The 22,056-nt window shown below is 41.4% G+C and overlaps 1 protein-coding gene and 1 long non-coding RNA gene across 3 annotated transcripts in view; one reads left to right on the top strand and one right to left on the bottom strand.

The window, feature by feature from the left end:
• The window catches only part of SNX9 (sorting nexin 9), a 121,832-nt gene that overhangs the window by 42,196 nt on the left and 57,580 nt on the right, over positions 1-22,056 (bottom strand). Inside the window, exons 1-3 of one of the 2 annotated variants that reach the window (XM_011535886.4) lie at positions 9,555-13,388; positions 5,884-6,055; positions 837-984 (exon numbers count right to left, since the gene is read on the bottom strand). In XM_011535886.4, the coding sequence (XP_011534188.1) occupies positions 837-984; positions 5,884-6,055; positions 9,555-9,572 (338 nt within the window). In that variant the 5' untranslated portion in view covers positions 9,573-13,388. Of the gene's footprint in view, positions 1-836; positions 985-5,883; positions 6,056-9,554; positions 13,389-22,056 lie in introns of those variants that run through there. The other variant, NM_016224.5, reaches the window with a different exon arrangement.
• Positions 10,000-17,768, top strand: SNX9-AS1 (SNX9 antisense RNA 1). The gene is made up of 2 exons (NR_183542.1): positions 10,000-10,189; positions 17,491-17,768. It is a non-coding gene; the product is annotated as an SNX9 antisense RNA 1 (long non-coding RNA).

Genomic DNA, 22,056 nt, shown 5'->3' with positions numbered 1-22,056 from the left:
AGCCTGGCCAACGTGGTAAAACCTCGTCTCTACTAAAAATACAAAAATTAGCTGGGCGCGGTGGCACATGTTTGTAATCCCAGCTACTCAGGTGGCTGAGGCACGAGAATTGCTTGAACCCGGGACGTTGGGGTTGCAGTGAACCAAGATCGCACCACTGCACTTCAGCCTGGGTGACAGAGCGAGACGCCTGTCTCAAAACAAAAAAATAAAACACAACACTTTTTTTTTTGTTTTAAATCTAAGAGAAACCTAAGCTAACACAAAGCTCCGGACCACGTTTTTAGGCACAGGAGCTGAAACACGTGCTTTGGCGCCTGAGGGCCTGGCTTCCTGACTGGAACACTCGATGCGTCTCTCTGGGCATCAGTTTGCCTGCAGTAAAACAGGGGTTTTATGTACCACAAAGGGATATGAGGGCTACATGCGAATGATACAAACCTCTCTGCACAATGCCTGGCACATGGCAAGTGATTAACAAAACAGTAAAACATTTAAAAGAGAGTTGTTATTATTATTCTTTTTAGCTTTCCTGTGACATTAGCAATGAAACCTTAATATGTCATAAATTGATAAAGCTAGAAGTAATGAAAACAGTTTGGGAAATCATTAAATAAAATAAATATTTCACTTATTAACCTTGTAAATCAAAAATCCTTTTTTTTTTTTAAGTAAGCTTCTCAGTTAAGATCCAAATAAAAATAACTGAATCATATCCAAAACTTAGGAGATCACTGGAAAGGGAAAAGGCCAGCTGCCTCTTGGTAGGGTATATACTTTGTATTAATGTATACTTCTACCACGGCCCTGGTTCCCTGGCTCCCCTTTAAACTTACTTGTTAAGGGGAATTTTCATGGATGAGGAACTAGCACGACTGTTTCCTCGCTGAGCGCCGCCTGCATCAGCTGACTCTGAATCCTTAAAGTAGGAAGAGGATTTGGGCCCATCCCAGTCTTCATCCCAGTCATCATCATCACCAGTTGCTAGAGGTGAAAATGGAAGATCATCAGTTAAAAAAAAAAAAAAGACCAAAATAAAAATGAAATTACTTAATTTTCTGACAGTAACTACCTACTGGGCAAATCAATTTTTTTTTGATGGAGAAAAGGGTATAGTATAGGAGTATAATATGGATGTTAAGAGTAAAGGCTGTGTAGTCAATTTTAAGCCTTGAATTACAGATTCTTTTAGTGCAAAAGACAAATCAGAAGCAACTTAAAGAGGGCTATCAGATTACTTTTAAATTTTTGACACGGGCACCGAGATGACACAGTGGAGAAAGGGCAGTCTCTTTAGTAAGTCGTGCTGGGAAAACCAGGTATCTACATGCAAAAGAATAAAACTGGACCTTGTCTTACACCACACACAAAAATCAACTTAAAATAGATTACAGACCTAAATGGAAGACCTGAAACCACACAACTCCTAGAAGGAAACACAGGGGAAAAGCTCCTTGGCGCTGGCCTTGGCAAATGTTTTTTTGAGTATTACACCAAAAGCACAGGGAACAAAGTCAAAAATAACAGGCGGGACTACATGGAACTAAAAAGCTTCTGAACAGCAAAGGAAACAATCAAAATGAAAAGGTAGCCTATGGGCTGGTGTAGGGAGACCCCCTGAAACTATTGCTATGGAATAAAAGATGAAATGCTCCTGATTATTGTAAATACAAAATTGCATGCAGGATTGTGTAAAGACAGTGCCAGGTGGGACTGCCAGAATGAGCCAACAGCATGTGATGTGCTTCCCCCTGCAGAGAGCCTATGAATGGATGTGCAGTCAGGGAGGTTTCACATCACCAAGATTCCTATCCCAGAAAAGCAGATATTCATAGCTCTGGGAATGGAAAGTGACCCTTGTAAAGAGCCTATAAACAGACACATGGGGGCACCGTCCATATGGATAAGATAGGGCTATAAACGCCCTCATCTTGCCAGGGCTCTTCTGGGCCTCTTTAGGGTTAAGGCATACTCCCTTCTGAGAATTTCTGGTCTAACAGGTTGTCTAGCTTCACGTCCTGTTTCTACGGATTGTTTGTAACCAGCTTTTGCTGCAACTGTTACTGCTGATTAATATCTTGCTAATCATAGGTTATGGAAAGACTGTGTTTCTGTTTTAAGGCTCTGTCAGAAATTACTGATGCATACACTATATTGTAAATTCTTATCTCTGTATACTGTACTTCTGCATACAGATGTTATGTTAAAGAATTACTTCATCCCCATGTGACCATCTCACCTCATAATCAAATGACCCTAAATCCCTCACTAACCTACCCCCGCCCTCACTAAACTTAATAATAAATGCTGGTATATCCAGTGCATTGTTGGCACTGCAGGACCAGAAGGCAGTGACCCCCCCGGACCCAGCTTTCGCTATCTTGTGTGTGTCTATTATTTCTCAACGGGCCGATCCGCCTGGGAACACAAAGAGAACCCCGTTGCATTGCGGGCTGCTGGCCAGATCCCGCAATAGGCTGGGAGAAAATATTTGCGAGCCATGTATCTGATAACCTGTTAATATTCAAAACATATAATGAACTCGCACAATTCAATAGCAAATAAAAAAAGCTCAATTAAAAAATGGACAAAGGACCCAAATTGACATTTTTCCAAAGAAGACCAAAAAATGGCCAAGAGGTATATGAAAATGCACTCAACATCACACACAAAGAAAAATACCACATGGATCTTATTTACATGTGGAACTTTTAACAGGTCTTTAAAAAAATCTAAAAAACTTATAGAAGCAGAAAGTAGAAAGGTGGTTACCAGGGGCAGGGAGACGGGGAACTAGGGAGATGCAGGTCAAAGGTACAAAGTTGCAGTCATGTAGGATAAGTCTAGAGATCTCATGTACAGCATGAGGACTACAGTTAATGATATTGCATTATATTTGGGAAACCTGCTGAGGGAGATTTTAGGTGCTCTTACCACACACACACCCACAGGCACGCACTTGCACATATACACGCGCACACACACACACTTAGGTAATCATGTGAGGTGAGGGATATGTTAAGCGCTTGGCTGTAGTAATGATTTCAGTATATACATGTATATTACAACATCACGCTGTATACCTCAAATATAGATAATTTTTTTTTTGAGACGGAGCCTCGCTTTGTTGGCCAGGCTGGAGTGCAGTGGCGCAATCTTGGCTCCCTGCAAGCTCCGCCTCCTGGGTTCAGGCCATTCTCCTGCCTCAGCTTCCCGAGTAGCTGGGACTACAGGCGCCTGCCACCACACCCGGCTAATTTTTTTTCTATTTTTAGTAGAGATGGGGTTTCACCGTGTTAGCCAGGATGGCCTTGATCTCCTGACCTTGTGATCCGCCTGCCTCGGCCTCCCAAACTGCTGGGATTACAGGCGTGAAAATATAGATAATTTTTTTAAAGGGCTGTCAGTCCACATCACTTCAGATAAATGCAGACTGTAAGAATGTTAAGTGGTACACAGTAGAAAAGACTTCTAGAGGCCTAGACACTGATAAATCTAGTCTTATACATTTACAAATAAGCAGAATACCCTTTAATTCTAGAGGCTTGGGGAGGACGAAAGGGACGACAGAACTTTGAAAAGCAGCTGTTTAACACTAACAATAAAGGGGAGAGAAGGGCAACGAGGGGGACATTAAAAAGACCGAGTTGGGGTGTGGGAGAAAAAGATGAGAGTGAAGAAGTAATTAAGCAGCATCAGTAGCTACTATTCTGACAATAATCCCCGTGTCAGATAAGGTGCTGTGGGCTCTCCTCCTTCTCCTTCCTCCCCTGTGGGCTCTCCTCCTTCTCCTTCCTCCCCTGTGGGCTCTCCTCCTTCTCCTTCCTCCCCTACTCTAACGGCCTGAGTGTCCTTTAGTGTCAGGTCCTAAGAGTGCCATTATGGAGAAGCCGAGAGACAAATGCCAAATGGGAGAAGAACAAACTATGAGAAGGATGTGGGCCAAGTGACCAGAGAGCCAGACCCCAGGAGTCTCCCAACGCTTCTACCCAGCCCACACCCCTGGTCCTGCTGACAGGCAGCTCCTGTCTATGACTGCCAGCCTTCAGCCGGGACCTGCACCCTGCTTTGGGCTTACAAGTGAGGTCCTTGCTGTTTAGAACAGACATTCAATTCTTGGCCCAATGTGCTTACAGAGGAGACAGGGTTCAGGAATTGTTAAAAAATAATGGGAGACTACCTTCTTATTTAATTTCAGATCAGACATAAATACCCTTAATTCCCAAATTATTTCCCATTCCACACATTTCTCTTCTGCCTCAGTATTTCTATTCATAGCCTAGTCAAACAGGAAGTTAAAACAGTGAATGCAGAGGTCTTAAACCAGCAGGATGAGCCACATCCCATCCACATACACGTTTCTGGCTCAAGATTTTAAAACAAACGTGTTAGCTGCTGAGATGTTAAAATCAGAAGGTGACAAATAACCAAGACTTCTCATCTCTCTGAAGATGTGGAGATCAGAACGTGGGCTCAGCTTCCCTGCAAATGCAGTGATCCACGGGCGACAGCAGGGGCCCTCAGCCTTCTGCAGCCTCCACCGCCCATTCTGCTTTTACTTTACCAACCCAGCGTTTGAATCTGTGACTTCACACAGATAAGTAAGACTGAACTAAAGTTAGAGTTAATGACCATCTACAATTGAATCCAGGTTTGCTACTAGTGAATAAGGGCAACTGCAAGCAGTTCTTTTGAATAAAATCTATTTTCAACTCAATGACCCAGAGTGGTATTGTGAGGTAAGAAATAGCCATCTGGTCTGCGTCCCTAGTTCCCGGCACAGAGCTCCTAAAACTCTTGTAACTTCCTGAATGTTAGGTGTGCAAGGTGTATCTTTTGTTCTGATATTTGGTCTCTGACCCTGGCTCCTGACACAGATCTCCTAACCCTTGGAATTTCCCGGGTGGTAGGAGCATCTTTTGTTCAAATGAGGTGACTCCTGGTGGGATGGGGGCTGGTCAACAGAAGGACCAAGCCAGGATTAGAAGCTTGGAACTTCCAGCTCCACCTCCCATTCTCTGGAAAGAAAAGTGGGGCCAGAGGTTGAGTTAATAATCAATCATGCCGGCCAGGCATGGTGGCTCACACCTGTAATCCCAGCACTTTGGGAGGCTGAGGCAGGTGGATCACCTGAGGTCAGGAGTTTGAGACCAGCCTGGCCAACATGGTGAAACCTTGCCTCTAATAAAAATACAAAAAATCAGCCGGGTGTGGCGGTGGGCGGTGGGCTCCTGTAATTCCAGCTACTCAGGAGGCTGAGGTGAGAGAATCACTTGAACCTGGGAGGCGGAGGTTGCAGTGAGCCGAGATTGTGCCACTGCACTCCAGCCTGGGCAACGAGAGCAAAACTCTGTCTCAAAGAATAATAATAACAATAATCGATCATGCCTATGTGATGAAACCGCCGTAAAAATCCTTGAGCTACAGGAAAAGAGATTCTGGGGTGCTGAACATGTAGGGGCACCTGGGGCAGGGGGGCATGGAAGCTCTGCGTCCCTTCCCCATGCCTCGCCCTATGCATCTCTTCATCTGGCTCTTTATTTGCATCCTGTAAATTGAGCTTTGTAATAAACTGACAGTAGTAAGTAAAGTGTTTCCCTGAGTTCTGTGAGCCGCTCCAGCAGATTAATTGAACCCAAGGTGGGAGTGGTGGGAACCCCCTTGATCTGACTCCAGGTAGACAGTGTCATGACTGTAGGACACTCAGCTGGTGTCTGCTGCACAGCTGCTTGGTGGGTGGGGCAATCCTCCCTTCCCATGCTGTGGTCACAAAACTGTTCTGTGTTGTGCTGAGTGTGGGAACAGCAAAAACAGTTCGGTCTTCCCTGTCTCTCCCACTCAGCCATGGGCGGGCAGGGTGGGACCTTGCACCCCTCTCCTCACCTGGTCCTTGGTAGGCCTGGGGGTGGCCGAAGGCAGTGTCCCAGTTGTTGGGAGTGTTTGTGTTTCTTTGGGCTCCAGCCCCCTCTGGCTGGGCCCCCCAGCCTTCTGAGCTTTCCCAGTTCCCAGATTTGGAGGCACTCCAGGCTGACCAGGGGTCATTGCCACTGCCAACCTATTGAGAGGGGTAAAAAGAAGGAGAATTTTTGTGACTTTTGGAAACCATGACTCAATTCAATAATGAACTGACACAATTGAATACAACAGGAGTACTAAAAACAATTAATAGAAATGTATTCAAAACAATTTTACATACATAATATTTTAATTTCCAAACATGTAGGAAAGCACAAAAGGTAGCATCAATCTAATTTTACTGATGTGAACACATTTTACCGTATTTGCTTAGGAACTTTGAAAACAGCAACAAAGAAACTATTAGATGCAGCTACAGCCCTCTCTTTCTTTCTCTCCAGAAGTAACCACTACTTTTCTGAACCTGTATCCATTCCTATGTGTGTTTTCATACTTCAGCTGCACATGTACACATTCACAAACAACTGCTTTATATTTTTAAAATTGACCTAAAGGATGTCATACTGTATGTATCTCTTTGCAAGTTTTCTTTTTCCCACTCAACATGAGGACCTATTTCTAACTGCTTTATAGCGATCTGTTGTATTTTTAAGTAGGCTTTTTAATTTGAAATGGAATACATGTATAATAAAAAAAATTCAAACAATAAAAGTATATGCAATTTGAGAAATACGCCTAACATCCTGAGATGCTAGTCATTCTAAGGAACTACTACTGTCAAAAGACACAAAATTACAACAAATTCAGTTACAGATCGACTTGGCCTTTACTTGAGATTCATGAATCTGGGCAGCCTCCTTCCTACAATCTAGAACGAGCACTCCCACTGGGCATTAACAGAACACTTGGTTTTTAAGGATGGGTTAATAAGGAAATAGAACAACAGAAAAAAAGTTGATGGTTAACATCAGTTTACTTCAGGTTACTTTTTCGTAAGGGTTAAAGCAGAGGGGACTCCTTATTATGCTAACTCAGGTAGACTGGGATCTCCTGTTCTCGAGAAAAAATCAGTTTGTTTTGGGACCTATCTGCTTCCTTCAAGTTTCAGTTTGACTATGGAGCATCTAGCACAAGGAACTCCATTCTGGTTTGGCCTGGTCTGCTGGGGCCTAGTGCAGGAACTCTGAAACAATGGCCTACTATAATTTTTGTTTCATGCTACTAACAAATTCCTTGTATATACTTACTCAAACATCCCATGGACAGAGATAGATCCTTTTTGTTTTTAAACACTAAGTTGGCCTAAATTGTATTATTTTTGCTCGGTACTTTTTTTTTTTCTCTTAACAGCATAAAACATTCTGCAAGGTACATCAGCACATATGGACACAATATTCTTTCACATTGTCTCCATAAAATTCCATTGTATATATTTCCTACAACTTGACCAGTATATGCTGATGTTCATTTATCTTGTTTTCAGTCTTTGGGTACTATAATACCATGTGATCGGACAGACCAAAACAGACACTGCTTTATCAACTAAGATGGATCCTAAGGTTAAGGGAATAGAGCAACTTTTTAAATTACTAGGGCTCTAAACTCACTAAGAACAGGACCTATCAGACCCCTCCTAACTCTGATTTACAACCCAGACCAAGACAACTCTGACTGGGCAGAGGACTGGCCTTAGAAACATTTTCTTCTGACAAGCAACTGCAGGCCTTAAAGCCAGTTTCAGCAGCTCGCTGAGGCTGTGCACAAACTGTGTCCCACAGTTCACCTTTTCACATAAAGAGCCCAATTCCACCTCATTTTAATGCTAAAATCTCACCTCAAAGTCAACAAGGATGGATGTTACATATGTTTACCTACTGCACATGCTCTTGACTCCTCTCATACATACGTATCGCTTTGCCCCCAAACTCCTAAATATATGTGACTCTAGTGTGATACAGGCCCTGTGAGGCATAAAACCCAATGTGTCCCTTCATCTTCAGCACACACCAGAGAAGGTCTCTTCCCAGTCTGTAAAATGTTACTGCCTATAAACCTCTCCTTTCTATTAATCAGCCATCCTGGTGGTTCTTTAGATGAAAACTGCAATCCAAAAGGTCTCTGAAATTTCCAGAAGAAAAAATGCTAGGCTTAAGGAGACTGTGTATTTAGAACCGATGGATTTTGTCAAATTGCTTTTGAAAGAGAATGCAATAACATTCCCACATTCTGACAACTGTCACGCTGAGGGGTTTTGTCTTACATAGAAAGGGACTTTCATACTTCTTTTTAAAAAGTATTTCTCTCCCATAATTCCTTTGAGTAATTTAATAGTTTAATTATTAATCTTACAAATAAACTTTTGGAATGGGAAATAGATGGCACCCAATCTCAAAGAATATTCCAGTAGAGAGTACACTTAGCACCTATTAGCCCTGCCCCCACCATCCCACCCTTGAGGCAAATACAGTTTTTTGTTAGCTTTTTTTTTTTTTTTTTTTTTAACATTTAAATCTTGTATCTGTCTGGAACTGAGTTAAGTAAAACAAATAATATAGGGGCCGGGCACAGTGGCTCATGCCTATAATCCTACCACTTTCGGAGGCCGAGGCGGGAGGATCACCTGAGGTCAGGAGTTTGAGATCAGCCTGGCCAACACGGTGAAACCCCATCTCTACTAAAAATACAAAAATTAGTCAGGTGTAGTGGTGGGCGCCTGTAATCCCAGCTACTTGGGAGGCTGAGGCAGGAGAATTGCTTGAATCCAGGAGGCGGAGATTGCAATGAGCTGAGATCACGCCACTGCACTCCAGACTGGGCGACACAGAGAGACTCTGTCTCAAAAAAAAAAAAAAAAAAAAAGAAAAGAAAAGCGAAAAGAAAAAGAAATGATACAGGGATCCAGCTGAACATCTTGTCCTCAGTCGGTCACCCTAATACCATTTCATGAACAATCCATCTTTCCCCCATGATTTGAAATGCCGCCTTCATCACATATCAGATTTGGGTCTATAGCTGGACTCTCTTGTTTCTTAGTGATCTATTTGTACTAGTACCACACTTTCATAGAAAAACCATCAATACTTTAGCATAACATCTCTTAGCTGTTTATTTTTATGTATAAACTTTAGCATCAGCTTAATATTTAAACTAAAACAATCTGAACTTTCACATTAGAATGTTGAGTTAAAATACTGATTTTCATTTGAATCACTGTTTACTGAATTCATAGAAAATTGATTAAAATTATTCATGCCTTTCACTCCACAATATTTCAGTACTGAATCTATTTCATAACATGAAATAGCAAGTCTTCCCCTTTATTTGAGTCTTATACACACACACACACACACACACACAAATGGTGCTAGTTAAAAAAAGAAAAAAATATAATTGCAAGAAAATTACCCACCCTGTCTAATATAGCCCCTAATGTTGTAGGACAGACACCCTAGTGGCTGGTCTGTTTTGACTCTTCACCAACCGACACATGGGGCAGACAGCTGGCTGTCACGTGCCAGGTGCATCAAAAACAGACTACATGCTTTTGATGTGCAAGTATGATGTCATTCTACTGCCCTATATACCTCTAAGGAAAAAACTGAAGTTACTTGTTATTTTACTCTATGTCAAATACTAACAGGAGAAAGATGTTTCATCCACAAGACTGTGACTTCTCAAACACACAGCTTTACAAGGTGACATTCGGCTTCGGGATGGACTCTCAGATGACCCCAGTGGACGCTGGAAATGAAGGCAATCATGCTGAGGGCCTGGCAGTCACACTTCAGCTAAGAGAAACCCTTCCTTCTACAGTTTTCTTTAAGGAAATGTAGTTTTATTCTCCTATTTAGCAATATATTCCGTGTCCTCCAAACTCTAAGTTACAAGTTTTTTCAAATAAGAACTTGAAAAAGTACCAAAGTTTGGGACACTAGGGACAGACTATCATTGGTACAGCAGCCTCAGCCTGGTTTCCATCAAGGACCGGCTGTGAAATGGAGGGGCTCGGAGGGCCACAGTCAAGAGCCTAGTGAGTTGGAATTCCGTTAACAGCTCTACCTCTCTTCCGCTGTGTAACCTCGGGCTAGAGTTCAGAAGTGAGTGGTCTGGATTCAGAAGACTGCCAGAAGCTAAGTGAGGTACATCACAAAGGAACACAGGACTGTGAGCTAGAACAGGAGAGTGAATGTTCGCTGGGGCCTTCCAGAAGACAGTTCAGTCTTAGCAAACTGGCCAGGAAGGATTTTCATCAAGATGGAGGAAAAACCTGGAGGTGAACTATTCATAGCAAGTGTCCTCAAAAAATTAAAATCCATTTAATTAGGGCAAAAACAAATAATTGTTCTTTGAAAATCACTTGGTCAATAATTTGTAGGTGTGTAGTAACTGTCATACTAGTTGGTTATGTATGTGATCTTAGCTCTCCACCTAAGTTATGAAATCTTTGTGGTTATGTTTGTTTCTATCTCTTTGGTTTTGTTTTTTTTTTTCCTGGAACGCTCTCTTTATCTTGTTTCAACCCAACTCCTGCTGATAACACATTTCTCAAAACCCTACCAACTGGAGATCTTTCCTGCAGCTTCCGTCACGGCCCTCGGACTCAGTCCCTCAGCAGATGGCCTTTTACTGCCCTGGCAGGTCCCTTCCCCTCTTAACTGTAACCAATCACTGGCTTTCTCTCTGAACCCATCCTTCCCATACGTCGATCTCTGCCTTCTTCACTCTCAACTCCCAAATCCCCTTGGTAGTTCCCTAACTACAGACACCTCGTCACGGTAAAACCTATTCAGCTCCTGGGCTGAGGTTTCCATCCTGTGGCGCCTCTCTGTCCTTTCCTTCCACCTTTCCCTCCTCTTCCTTTCTACTGAGCAGCATCTTCATCCTCTTTCTCTTCCCACTCCTTATTTTGCAAAGCTCTTAACTGTCCATCATGGGTAATTAAAATCCCTTCATTAGCACTCACTGCCCCTAGAGTCACCTCCAAGCTTCCTGTGGCTCAATCAGGAGTTTCTTCAGCACAGGTCTCAACTTTGCCTCGTGCTGCATTCCCCATTCTCCCTACCTGCCACTAACCTTCACTCTGAAGCTTCAAACTTCACACATTTCCCCAAACTTTTCTACATCTCTGCTGTTCCTCACACTATACTGTACTCTTATCTGCACACCTCATCTTCCTCAATTTAGCAAAGCCCTACCCCATCAGAAGGGCTCTGGCCTTCCCACAGCCTGCTGGCTGACATCCAGCCGCCTCCTTTCACTTTCTTCATTATTTGCAAATCAGATGGTCAGTCCCACCAGTGAATCACGGGGACAGCTCTGTCTTACCCGGAGAATGTTTCCCCCAAAAGATTCTCCAAATGCCTTGCATAAAGTGGCAAGGACTCAAATATTTTAAATGTGATGTTCTTGATCATTTGTATGAAATATATCTTACTCTTTGTCAGACCTCTAACCTTCATGACATGATCACCAAAAGGAGGAAATCAGATTTGCCTTATGTATACTAAGACTATGTATACTAAGACTTTGCCTTATGTATAAAAAGACTAAATTGAGTCTTTTTGAAAAAATTAACTTGTTGTGGTCGATCACAGAATAAGTGATTTTCAGCATGTGACTACAGAAAAAATGATTTTTGGCCAGGCGCAGCGGTTCACACTTGTAATCCCAACATTTTGGGAGGCTGAGGCAGGAGGATCACTTGAGGTCAGGAGTTTGAGACCAGCCTAGCCAACATGGTGAAACCCCATCTCTATTAAAAATACAAAAAGCCGGGTGTGGTGGCAGGAGCCTATAATCCCAGCTACTTGGGAGGCTGAAGCAGGAGAATCGCTTGAACCTGGAAGGCGGAGGTTGCAGTGAGCCGAGTTCACACCACTACACTCCAGCCTGGGTGACAGAGTGAGACTCTGTCTCAAAAAAAAAAAAAAAAAAAAAAGAGAAAGAAAAAAGAATTTTTAGCATGTGACACTATGAGTACCCTTAAAATAACAGTGTCTGAGTTCTGAAAGTGGATGATACAGACAGGCACAGGAGATGGAGGAATGGGCAAATATGAGAGAAAGCAAGAGCAGTAAAATGGGAATGGTAAAATCTAGAAGGTGGGTATATGATTATTCACTATGAAATTCGTTTAACTCTTCTATGCTTGAAATTTTAACAAACATTGGAAAATGCAACAAACAAAATCGACATATACAATCACTCTCGTCTGAGCTCCATTAGAAGGACACAGAGAAGGGCTGTGTCCATCAGGGTAACCTGCCATCTCCTGCTGCCCGTGAACGTGGGGCCCTGGGTAAACGCTTTGTAAATTAAGTATCTGTTGAATGAATACACTCCTACAGCATGTCTGGTTGGGTCTCTGGGACACGCTTAAATCTATGTAATCACCACAGGTAGATGATTATGTCCGACTCTCTTCCTAACTCCCACCCCAGCTAAATCAAATGCCCCTTTAGGCCCAGGAGCAATATACTAACAATTTGCTGGTTTAACGTTCTAAATTTAAAAGCTATCCTCTCCTCATAATGCAAATAGAGAAATATATTTATGCAGGCTTGACATTGGGAGACTTATTTAAACACATTCACTCAAAGGATTTACAGCATTAGCTAAATTTCTTCAGAAAGTAGACTGGCTTGTACCTGACTGCAGAGCCACTGGACCACAGAACAGACTGAGAATGGCCACGAGGGGTGGGGGAGACGGACACGCACACCCATGGTGGTGCTGTGTGGTGAGTGTAGGAAAGCTGCACATGGTACAAATATACAATATGGGATAAAAAGGGGCAAGACGAATCCTGGTACACTAGGTGGAGTTTAACTCCCTTTAGGAAGCTATTGGAATTGACTCAAGTAATCATTATACCACATGGGGATAGTGGTTAAGAACTTAGGCTCAAAGCCTGCTATCTGGGTTTGAATCCCAGCTTTATCACTTACCACTAGCTGTGTGGCCTTGGGTAATTTACTTAGCTCTCTTAGTCCCCACACTTATACAATGGCTATAACATTATCCTCCTGTAAGGATTAAATGACATAATGCATACAAAGCATCTAGCCCACAGTATGCATTCAGTAGAGGTTATCTTAATATGTGAGGGCTCATCTAAAATATAAAGAAAAGAATAAAGACTAGCATTTCTTTGAGTAAATCCCCATCTAAGTAACATACCTATTAGCTTATGCTATGCAGGAAAAGACCAGACAGTTATATTTACAAATAGCTGCACAGCCAGGTCATATTAATAGAGACTTTTAATTGAAGAGATAACAGGCTTAAGATATTTTCTATTCCAGCCAACGTTCTGTTACCTTCAGATACATAAAAGAGGAAGAAGACAGAAATATTTTTACTGTAAAGGTCAACAACAGCAACTCCTAATTCTTGGGACTTTCAGCACAAATATTTTCTGTTGCTAAATGCTGAGATCTTGACTTTTTTCAAAACCTAAGCTTTACTGTAACAAACTAGACTACAATGATCTGGTTGAAGGATCCTTTGGTGTCTTTTTTTTTTTTTTTTTTTTTGAGACAGGGTCTTGCTCTGTCACCCAGGCTGGAGTACAGTGGTGTGATCTCGGCTCACTGCAACCTCTGCCTCCCAGGTTTAAGCAATTCTCCTGCCTCAGCCTCCCAAGTAGCTAGGATTACAGGGGTGCACCACCACACCCAGCTAATTTTTGTATTTTTAGTAGAGATGGGGTTTCACCATGTTGGCCAGGCTGGTCTCGAACTCCTGACCTCAGGTAATCTGCCTGCCTCCGCCTCCCAAAGTGCTGGGATTACAGGCGTGAGCCACTGCGCCTGATGTCTCTGACATTTTTGTTCTCCATCCCCACAACCCCTTTGGTCTCTCAACTGCAGACATTTGGTCATGCAATAATCCCCTCGGCTCCTTCACTCAGGTTTCCAATGCTGAGATGCCTCTTCGTTTCTTTCCTTACACCTCCCCTTCCTCTTGAATTTTTACAGGACAATGTCTTCATTCTCCTCTTCTTTTCCCTCTCTCCGTGGTACCACACTCCTCCTCACAGTCAACCACAGAGTTAAAGACCTTTCATTAGATCTCACTGCCCGTGGGATGAATTCAGTAATCAAGCCTCCTCTAAGAGGCCTCCACGGTGTAAATCCTCACGATCTTCCCAGTTCCTACATATTCCACATCCCACATCACCATGCCCCAAGAAGAGCTCCTGTAAGATACTTTACCTGACATAATCACTTCACTTGGGAAAAAAAGATGACTTTTAGGGTTTATTAAATGTTTATTTCCTCTTGTGTTCAAGTTTGAAATTTACCTTATATATGGAAGAAGGAGAAGGAGAAGGAGAAGAAGGTGGTGACTGGCTGAGACTTTCGACACAACCAATCTGAGCCAAAATATCCACCTTAAAATAAAAAAGGTGCCCAGTGAACAAGAGTGAAAAAGCAGGTCAAAGTTTTTAACTAAAACCAGCACATTCATGGCAGGACCAAATTCTCCAGAAAACTCTAGCATGCCACTCACTCACAAACATTACATGCAAAAAGCCCCAACTGTGTAGCAATGGGTTATCTTCAATGCATTATATTTTCTAAAGTCTGTTGTTTGGCATCATGATACAGTATTAATGAAACCCTAAAAATAACTATAAGCAGCACAGAAAGAATGGATTAAGTATCATGCAAGTCATACAGCCAGAGAAACAAACTCCAGAGGAAAAAACAGAAATAGCCAAGTTAAAAAAAATGTTAATATTCTGAACCTTTTGCTTTCAGAGGCATTAGACATGTATGTGAGAGAGTCCAGACAAAATCAGCAAAGCCACCTGGTCAACTTGAAGCTAACCACAGAGCCACAGTGAGTCCTACCAATCGCAGCTGTGAATGACACAACAGCCCAGCTGGTCTGTGAACACAATGTCTCCCGGTGTGTGCTCTTAGGGTCTAACTGGCCTACAATACAGCATCTTGTGAGAAGAGGTAACTGACTGATGCGCTTCCAAGAAGCCAATTGATGGGTAAACTGCAGCAGATGTGTTAAGAGGACCATTCTGGAGCCCAGCTTCCAGGCTTCAAATCCCGGTTCCACAACTGTCCTGTAGGGAAGTCAGTACTACAAACATTTATATAGTGGACGACAGCATCCTTTTCAGGCGCAACTCTCCTGTGAAATAAGCGGTGGTATTATTCTCACCTGAGAGATGAAAATAAACTTGGAGTTGAAAATCAGTTAATACGCAAAGCAGACAACAAAGATGGAGTAACAGGGACCCAGTTTATGCTCCCAATGAAAACAAAAAATATGATGAAATATAGGAAACCGTGTTCAAATCACTGGACACCAGACAGTGAAGAAGTGATCCTGAGATACGGGAGACAGACAGAGTAAGCCCACAAGTGCCCATTCACTGCGTGGAGAGACTCTCCAGGACACGGAGCAGGCATGGAAAACCCACACAAAGCTCGGCGGTCTCTGTGGTGGGAGGATACAGAGTCTGGGGAAGACAGAGACGCAGAGAGAGAGCTCTGGAGACTGCAGAGGACACTGCAGATCTGCACTGATCAGCCCATCACGTGAGGGGTCTACCCAAGGTCAGGGAAAGACACACACGGAAGAATCAAGAGTGAATCAAGAGTGCAACCCCTCACACAGGGCTATTCCCACCAGCCTAGATGGAAAACTTCATGATTCACGGGGCATCGGGTACAATACTACAAAGGATTTGTTTCAGGAAAGGGGCAAAAATATCCCTAAGCTAAATGTTGCTCTGGGCTTAAAAATAAAACCTGAAATAATCAGATTATTTCAAAGTAACTTAGGTGCATCCCAGAACAAGGCTCAAAAATGTTTATGGGAATGCAAAAATATCCAGCATATAGCAAGGTGAAAATTGCAATGTCTGACATCCACTCATAATTTATCAGACATGAAAAGAAGCAAGGAAAATATGACCCATAATGAAGAGAAAGATTAAGCTGATACAGTACTGACAGAGATGAAAGACTTAGCACTATTTAAGAGCAAGAGAGGTTTCAAATATTAATGAGGTAGAAGACTCAGCTTGAATGGGCTTCCAAAAGGTGATAACTTTAAGCACAAAGAAAAAAAAAACAAAACACATTATGAAATCAATGTAAATCCATACATCCATGCTACTGTCAGAAAAAAAGACAGGAATGCTTTCTTCATTGGTCACTATTTGTAGTAGCTATAAAATAACTTCTTACTTTGAAACATGGCAATTAAGGAGAGGTGGAATTAGCCATCTATCCTGAATTCCAAATTGGAATTCGACATAATTAACTAGCTCCAGCTGATACAGGAAAGTGCTGCTTTCTAGATGAAACCAGCTAAGCGTGGAAGGAATAACATTTCTGATTCTGGCAAGGATTACCAACTGGTGGTAAACCATTACCATTTATATACAATTTATATCTGTATGTTTGTGTGTATACCCACGTTCACAGAGAGAAAATAAGACACCTAGTGTAAAGAGTAGTGATTGTGGAAATGGGATACTTTTCTTTTTCTAGTCTGAATTTTCTACAATGCATATGTACTGCTTCTGTAACAATAAAATAAAAGGTTACTTTACTAATTGTTTTTAAAGACAGTAATAATGCTAATTAGCAACTGCTGACCACAAAAATAGTAGTTTCTGGTTTTGTTATTTTTTTTTTATGTTGTATTCTTGCTCCTCATATGACATCCTTGGGGAACTGGGACCAGTAAGAAATAAACCCCTACTTCTGACAACAAAAAAATGCAGTAAGCAGGGCAAGCGCTTGTTTGGATGACATGGTTAGACCTGACTCAGTTCACTGGTTTCCTAGTAAGCAGCTAAGACATGGCCCAAGAGGAAGAGTTCTCACTGCACAGACCATGAGAACAGCAACTGTGGCGTGGCAGAGATGAGCAATGGCACCACGACGTCTGTCTGTCTCCATCGTAACTACATCAGGCCTCGAAGGAGGGCTAGGTTTAAGAATTAATGAAAATGGTAACATATTTAATTAAAGCTGCTTTCCGTTTGGCTTTCTACCAAACATGTACAAAGGGTCTATGAAAGCTCAAAACATACTGTGAGTGGTCGCAGCTCTTATGGGCCACCTAATTCCTTCCAGCAGACACCAAACGTCCACTTCAGGTCAGTACAGATCATCCCATCTGGTAAGTCCACCAGTTAAGAGGAGTTCCCAATCGCAGGCTAACTACTTTCTATGTTATTATCTTGGGATGGGGCCCTGTAGGCATTCAGGGGTCCGCCTATCACCACATAAGGAACTCCTCACTGTGCCTGTCACATCCTTCCACACCACCTGTGATGATGTCATCTGGCCTATCATGCCACGGCCCATCTTACGACTATACCACGTGCAACTGTGTTAGGAAGTAGGAATAGAAAGCAAATAATATCTGATTCTTAAACCAGAGAACATCTAAACCAGAATTTCTGACAAAAATTTAACTCTTTTCCTCAAAAGGGACTGAAGAGGTTATAATATTCTCTTATATAAAAAAATCTAACCACTTTAGCTCAAAATACGGAAGAATTTGACAAGTTTCCTGTTTTGTTCTTTACAGATCTTTGGCTCAAAGGACATGACCTAATTCTACAGATGAATCTGTACTGACGTTAGAAAACCACTGGTGGAACATAAAACTTGTACATTCTTCTAAAAATGAAGGTAGATCACAGCAGACTCAATCTATTTATAGCCAGTCATATCAACATTACTGATTGGGAATTACCAAAAGAGGTGAAATTATTTAACAAATCCTTTGTTAAGTCATATTCTGAACCTACAGATGTCAATTTCAGGTGTTTATTTTTTAAATAAAGATAATTAAAACACTAAAAATTTACTTAAGGTAAATGGATAATGTTTGTATTAGCTTAGAGAGTCTACTTACTCAGATAGCTCAAAGTCCTAAAATAGGTAGCTTTGAGTACAGAATAGGATGGCGCTACAATCAGCAAATAATTTGCTTCCAGACAGACCTAAGAGAAGTCCATGTGAAATAAGCTTTTACACTGTGCTGATGACAGGATGTACGTATAACAATGCTGGCTGGTCCTTCATCACTGCAGTTTTAAGGTTAAAAAAAAAGACTTTGCTTTAATAGTTTGTTTCCAGTTAGACAAAACAAACAAAAACCACCCTATATAACAAACTTCACCAGCATGTATTTTTGAAAGGTTCCTGAGATGAACAAAGCTGTCTCATAGATGTCAGGGATCTGTGAAAAAGCACACAAGGTTAGTAATGACAGCCTCATGCAGTTCTGAAGGCAAATGTCCATAAATCCTCTAACACTGGTATATGATCTTCCTTAAAAAGCCCTATTACCAACTAAAAAGAATTCATACGGGGGGGTGGGAGTGAGAGTGAAGAGATGGAAAGAACCTTTTCAATAAAGTTCTGTAAAGAGAAAGTCTCAATAAGCAATTACGAGATGTCTAAGGCATTATAAGACTTATGTGAGTTAATGAAGGTATAAGCACATCTAATACTGAACCTTTGTGAGGGTTTCTTTTATCAATTTATTTTTAAATGGACTACCAAAAAAGGCCTAAAATGGCCTAAAAATAGACTTTTGAGAACTAAGAAAGCAAAATGTAGTTCCAACATAAAATTACCATTGCCTTCCTCATCCTATAACCAATAAAAATTCCTTTGCAACAAATATAATTACATGGAAAATCTCTGTAGAGAAAAATGTTATATCCTTAAATACCACTTAACTTCAAGCATTTGTTTAATATCCAAACTGTTTTAAAAAAATAACAATGCCAGAGAATTTTCTGTAAGAGAATCTTCCCATTTTTGATTGGGTAGCCCGTCAGATGGGAGAATAACAGGCCAGTGATGGACAGCTCCTAGGCCTGTGGTCGGTGTTAAGAACACAAACTTCTCCAAGGCAGGGATTCAGGAAATCTGTAAGTCTTTTAATACCTTACATTGTAAAGTACCTTTTGATGTATTTATAACTGAAAAAAAATTATTCAAACAAGAACAGAGTATTATGGTACAAAGTCTCTTATAGGTCACTGGGAATAGAAAAAAAGATAAATTCTTTGCTTATCAAGCTTAACAATTTACAAATAAGCAATATAATTTGTATAAGAGTCACAAATTGTGCTAAGGGAATCCAGAGAAGTAAAACAGAAAACAAAAGGTTTTATAGAAGACATGGTATTTGAGCTGAACCTGAAGAGATGGGCTTCTGAAAGATGGAAGGAGTCACTCTGTTATTCTCAGAAGAGCAAGCCAAAGGTACAAATAAAAGGTGAGACAGCATGGGACATATTTGGAGAATCATCAGTTTGCCTGGAGACAAATACATAACTTAAAGATAAGGTGATGATGGGTAGCCACACTGAGGCATCACAGAAATAGAACTGAGCTTGGAAAAGTACTTCAACCTCAAATTCAGATGAATTTCTTCTACAGTTTCCCTACCATGAACCGTTCAGCGTCTGCTTGCCTAACTCTGATACACAAAGACCTTCTCCTGGGATAGCCCTGCTGACATGTAGCAAATGATTATTCCAGAAGGCAATAGAGGAGACTCTGAAGTTTCTTAAACAAGGAGATGACATAAAAGCATACGTCAGCAATGCTGAGGGTTTGGTTCCAGTCCATCACGTTAAAGTGAGTCATGTGGACTTTTTTGGTCCCCCAGTGTACATAACAGTTATGGTTACACTATACCGTATAAGTGTGCGAGAGCATTATGTATAAAAAATACATATCTTAATTAAAAATACTTTATTGCTAAAAATCGCTAACGATCATCTGAGCCTTCCACTAGTCAAGCTGCACCCTTTTTGCTGGGGTGGCGGGGGGGTCTTGTTTTGATGTTCATGACTGCTGACTGATCAGGGTGGTGGTTGCTGAAGGTTGGGGTGGCTGTGGCAACTTCTTAAAACAAGACAATGAAGTCTGCCATGTCAATTGACTCTTCCTTTCATGAAAGATTTCTCTGTAGCATGTGATGCTGTTTGATAGCATTTTGCCCACAGTAGAACTTCTTTCAAAACTGGAATCAATTCTCTCAAATCCTGCTGCTATTTTATCTACTAAGTTTATGGAATATTCTAAATCATTTGTTGTCAACAATGTTCATAGCATCCTCACCACGAATAGATTCCATCTCAGGAAACCACTTTCTTTGCTCATCCATAAGAAGCAACTCCTCATCTGTTCAAGTTTTATCATGAGGTTGAAGAAATTCAGTCACATCTTCAGGCTCCACTTCTAATTCTAGTTCTCTTAGTATTTCTACCACATCTGCAGTTACTTCCTTCATGAACATCTTCTATGAGGGTTGGAATCTACTTCTTCCAAACTCCTGTTAATGTTGACATTTTGACCTTCTTCCATGAATCATGAATGTTCTTCATGGCATCCAGAACGATGAATCCTTTTCAGAAGGTTTTCGATGTACTTTGCCCAGATCCATCAGAGGAATCACTATTTATGGCAGCCATAGCCTTGCGAAATGTATTTCTTATAGGACTTAGAAGTCAAAATTACTCCTCGATCCAAGGGCTGTAGAATAAGTGCTGTATTAGCAGGCATGAAAACATCAATCTTCATGTACATCTCCATCAGCGCTCTTAGGTGACCAGGGGCATTGTCAATGAGCAGTAATATTTTGAAAGAAATCTTTTTTTCTCAGCAGTTGGTCTCAACAGTGGGCTTGAAATATTCAGTAAATCATATTGCAAACAGATGTGCTGTCATCCAGGCTTGGCTATTCAATTTACAGAAGACAGGCAGAGTAGATTCCGCATAATTCTAAGGACCCTTAGGATTTTCAGAATGGTAAACGAGCACTGGTTTCAACATAAAGTTACCAGCCGCATTAGCCCCTTAAAGAGAGTCAGCCTGTTCTTTGAAACTTTGAAGCAGGCACTGGCTTCCCCTCTCCAGCTGTGCAAGTCCTAGATGGCATCTTCTTCCAATAATAGAAGGCTGTTTCATCTGCTCTGAAAATCTGTTTAGTGCAGCACCATCATCAATAATCTTTGCTAGATCTTCTGGATAATGTATTGCAGCTTCCACAGCAGCACCTGCTGCTTCACCGTGCACTTTTATATTATGAAGACAGCTTCTTTCCTTAAGCCTCATGAACCAACTTCTGCTAGCTTCAAACTTTTCTTCTGCAGCTTCCTCACCTCTCTCAGCCTTCACAGAATTGAAGATAGTTAAGACCTTGCTCTGCATTAGGCTTTGGCTTAAGGGAATGTTGTGGCCTGTTTGATCTTCTACCCAGACCACTCAAACCTTCTCCTTATCAGCAATAAGGCTATTTCACTTTCTTATCATTCAAGTGTTCACTGGACTACTACTTTTAATTTCCTTCAAGAACTTTTCCTTTGCAGTCACAACTTGGCTAAGTGTTTGGCTCAAGAGGACCTGGCTTTTGGCCTGCTTCAGCTTTTGACAAGCCTTCCTCACTAAGCTTAATAATTTCTAGCTCTTGATTTAAAGTGAGAGAAATGCGACTCTTCCTTTCACTGAAACACTTAGAGGCCACTGCAGGGTTAATAATTGGTTAACTGAAATACGGTTGTGTCTCAGAGAATAGGGAGGTCCAAGGAGAGGGAGAAAGACGAGGGTATGGCTGGCGGGTAGAACAGGCGGAACACATAAAACATGTCAATTAAGCTCGCCATTGTGGTGCCTCAAAACAATTACAATAGTAACATCAAAGATCACTCATCATGAATCATCAAAACAGATATAATAATGATGAAAAAGTATGAAACATTGCAAGAATTAACAAAACGTGAAACAGAGACACCAAGTGAGTACATGCTGTTGACAAAATGGCGCCCATAGACTTGCTCAATGCAGGGGGTGCCAAAAACTTTCAATCTGTAAATAATGCATTATCTGTCAAGTGCAATAAAGCAAAGGGCAATAAATGAAGTGTGCCTGTCCTTAATGTCTTGTTTTAGAAGCAGTGGTATATGAGATAACTATAATTAACAATTATTAAACCACTACTAAGTACCATGTACTCTTCTAAATACTTTAGAACTCTTTTTTCATTTACTTTTTCCAAAAATCCCATGAGGTTTTACAGATGAGGCACAGAGATGCTAAGCAGCTTACCCTGATTCACATAGGATGTGTG

The sequence above is a fragment of the Homo sapiens genome, chromosome 6 (genome assembly GCF_000001405.40).
Source record: "Homo sapiens chromosome 6, GRCh38.p14 Primary Assembly".
In the NCBI taxonomy this organism is placed as follows: Eukaryota; Metazoa; Chordata; class Mammalia; order Primates; family Hominidae; genus Homo; species Homo sapiens.
This window is presented reverse-complemented; position numbering and strand designations above follow the sequence as displayed.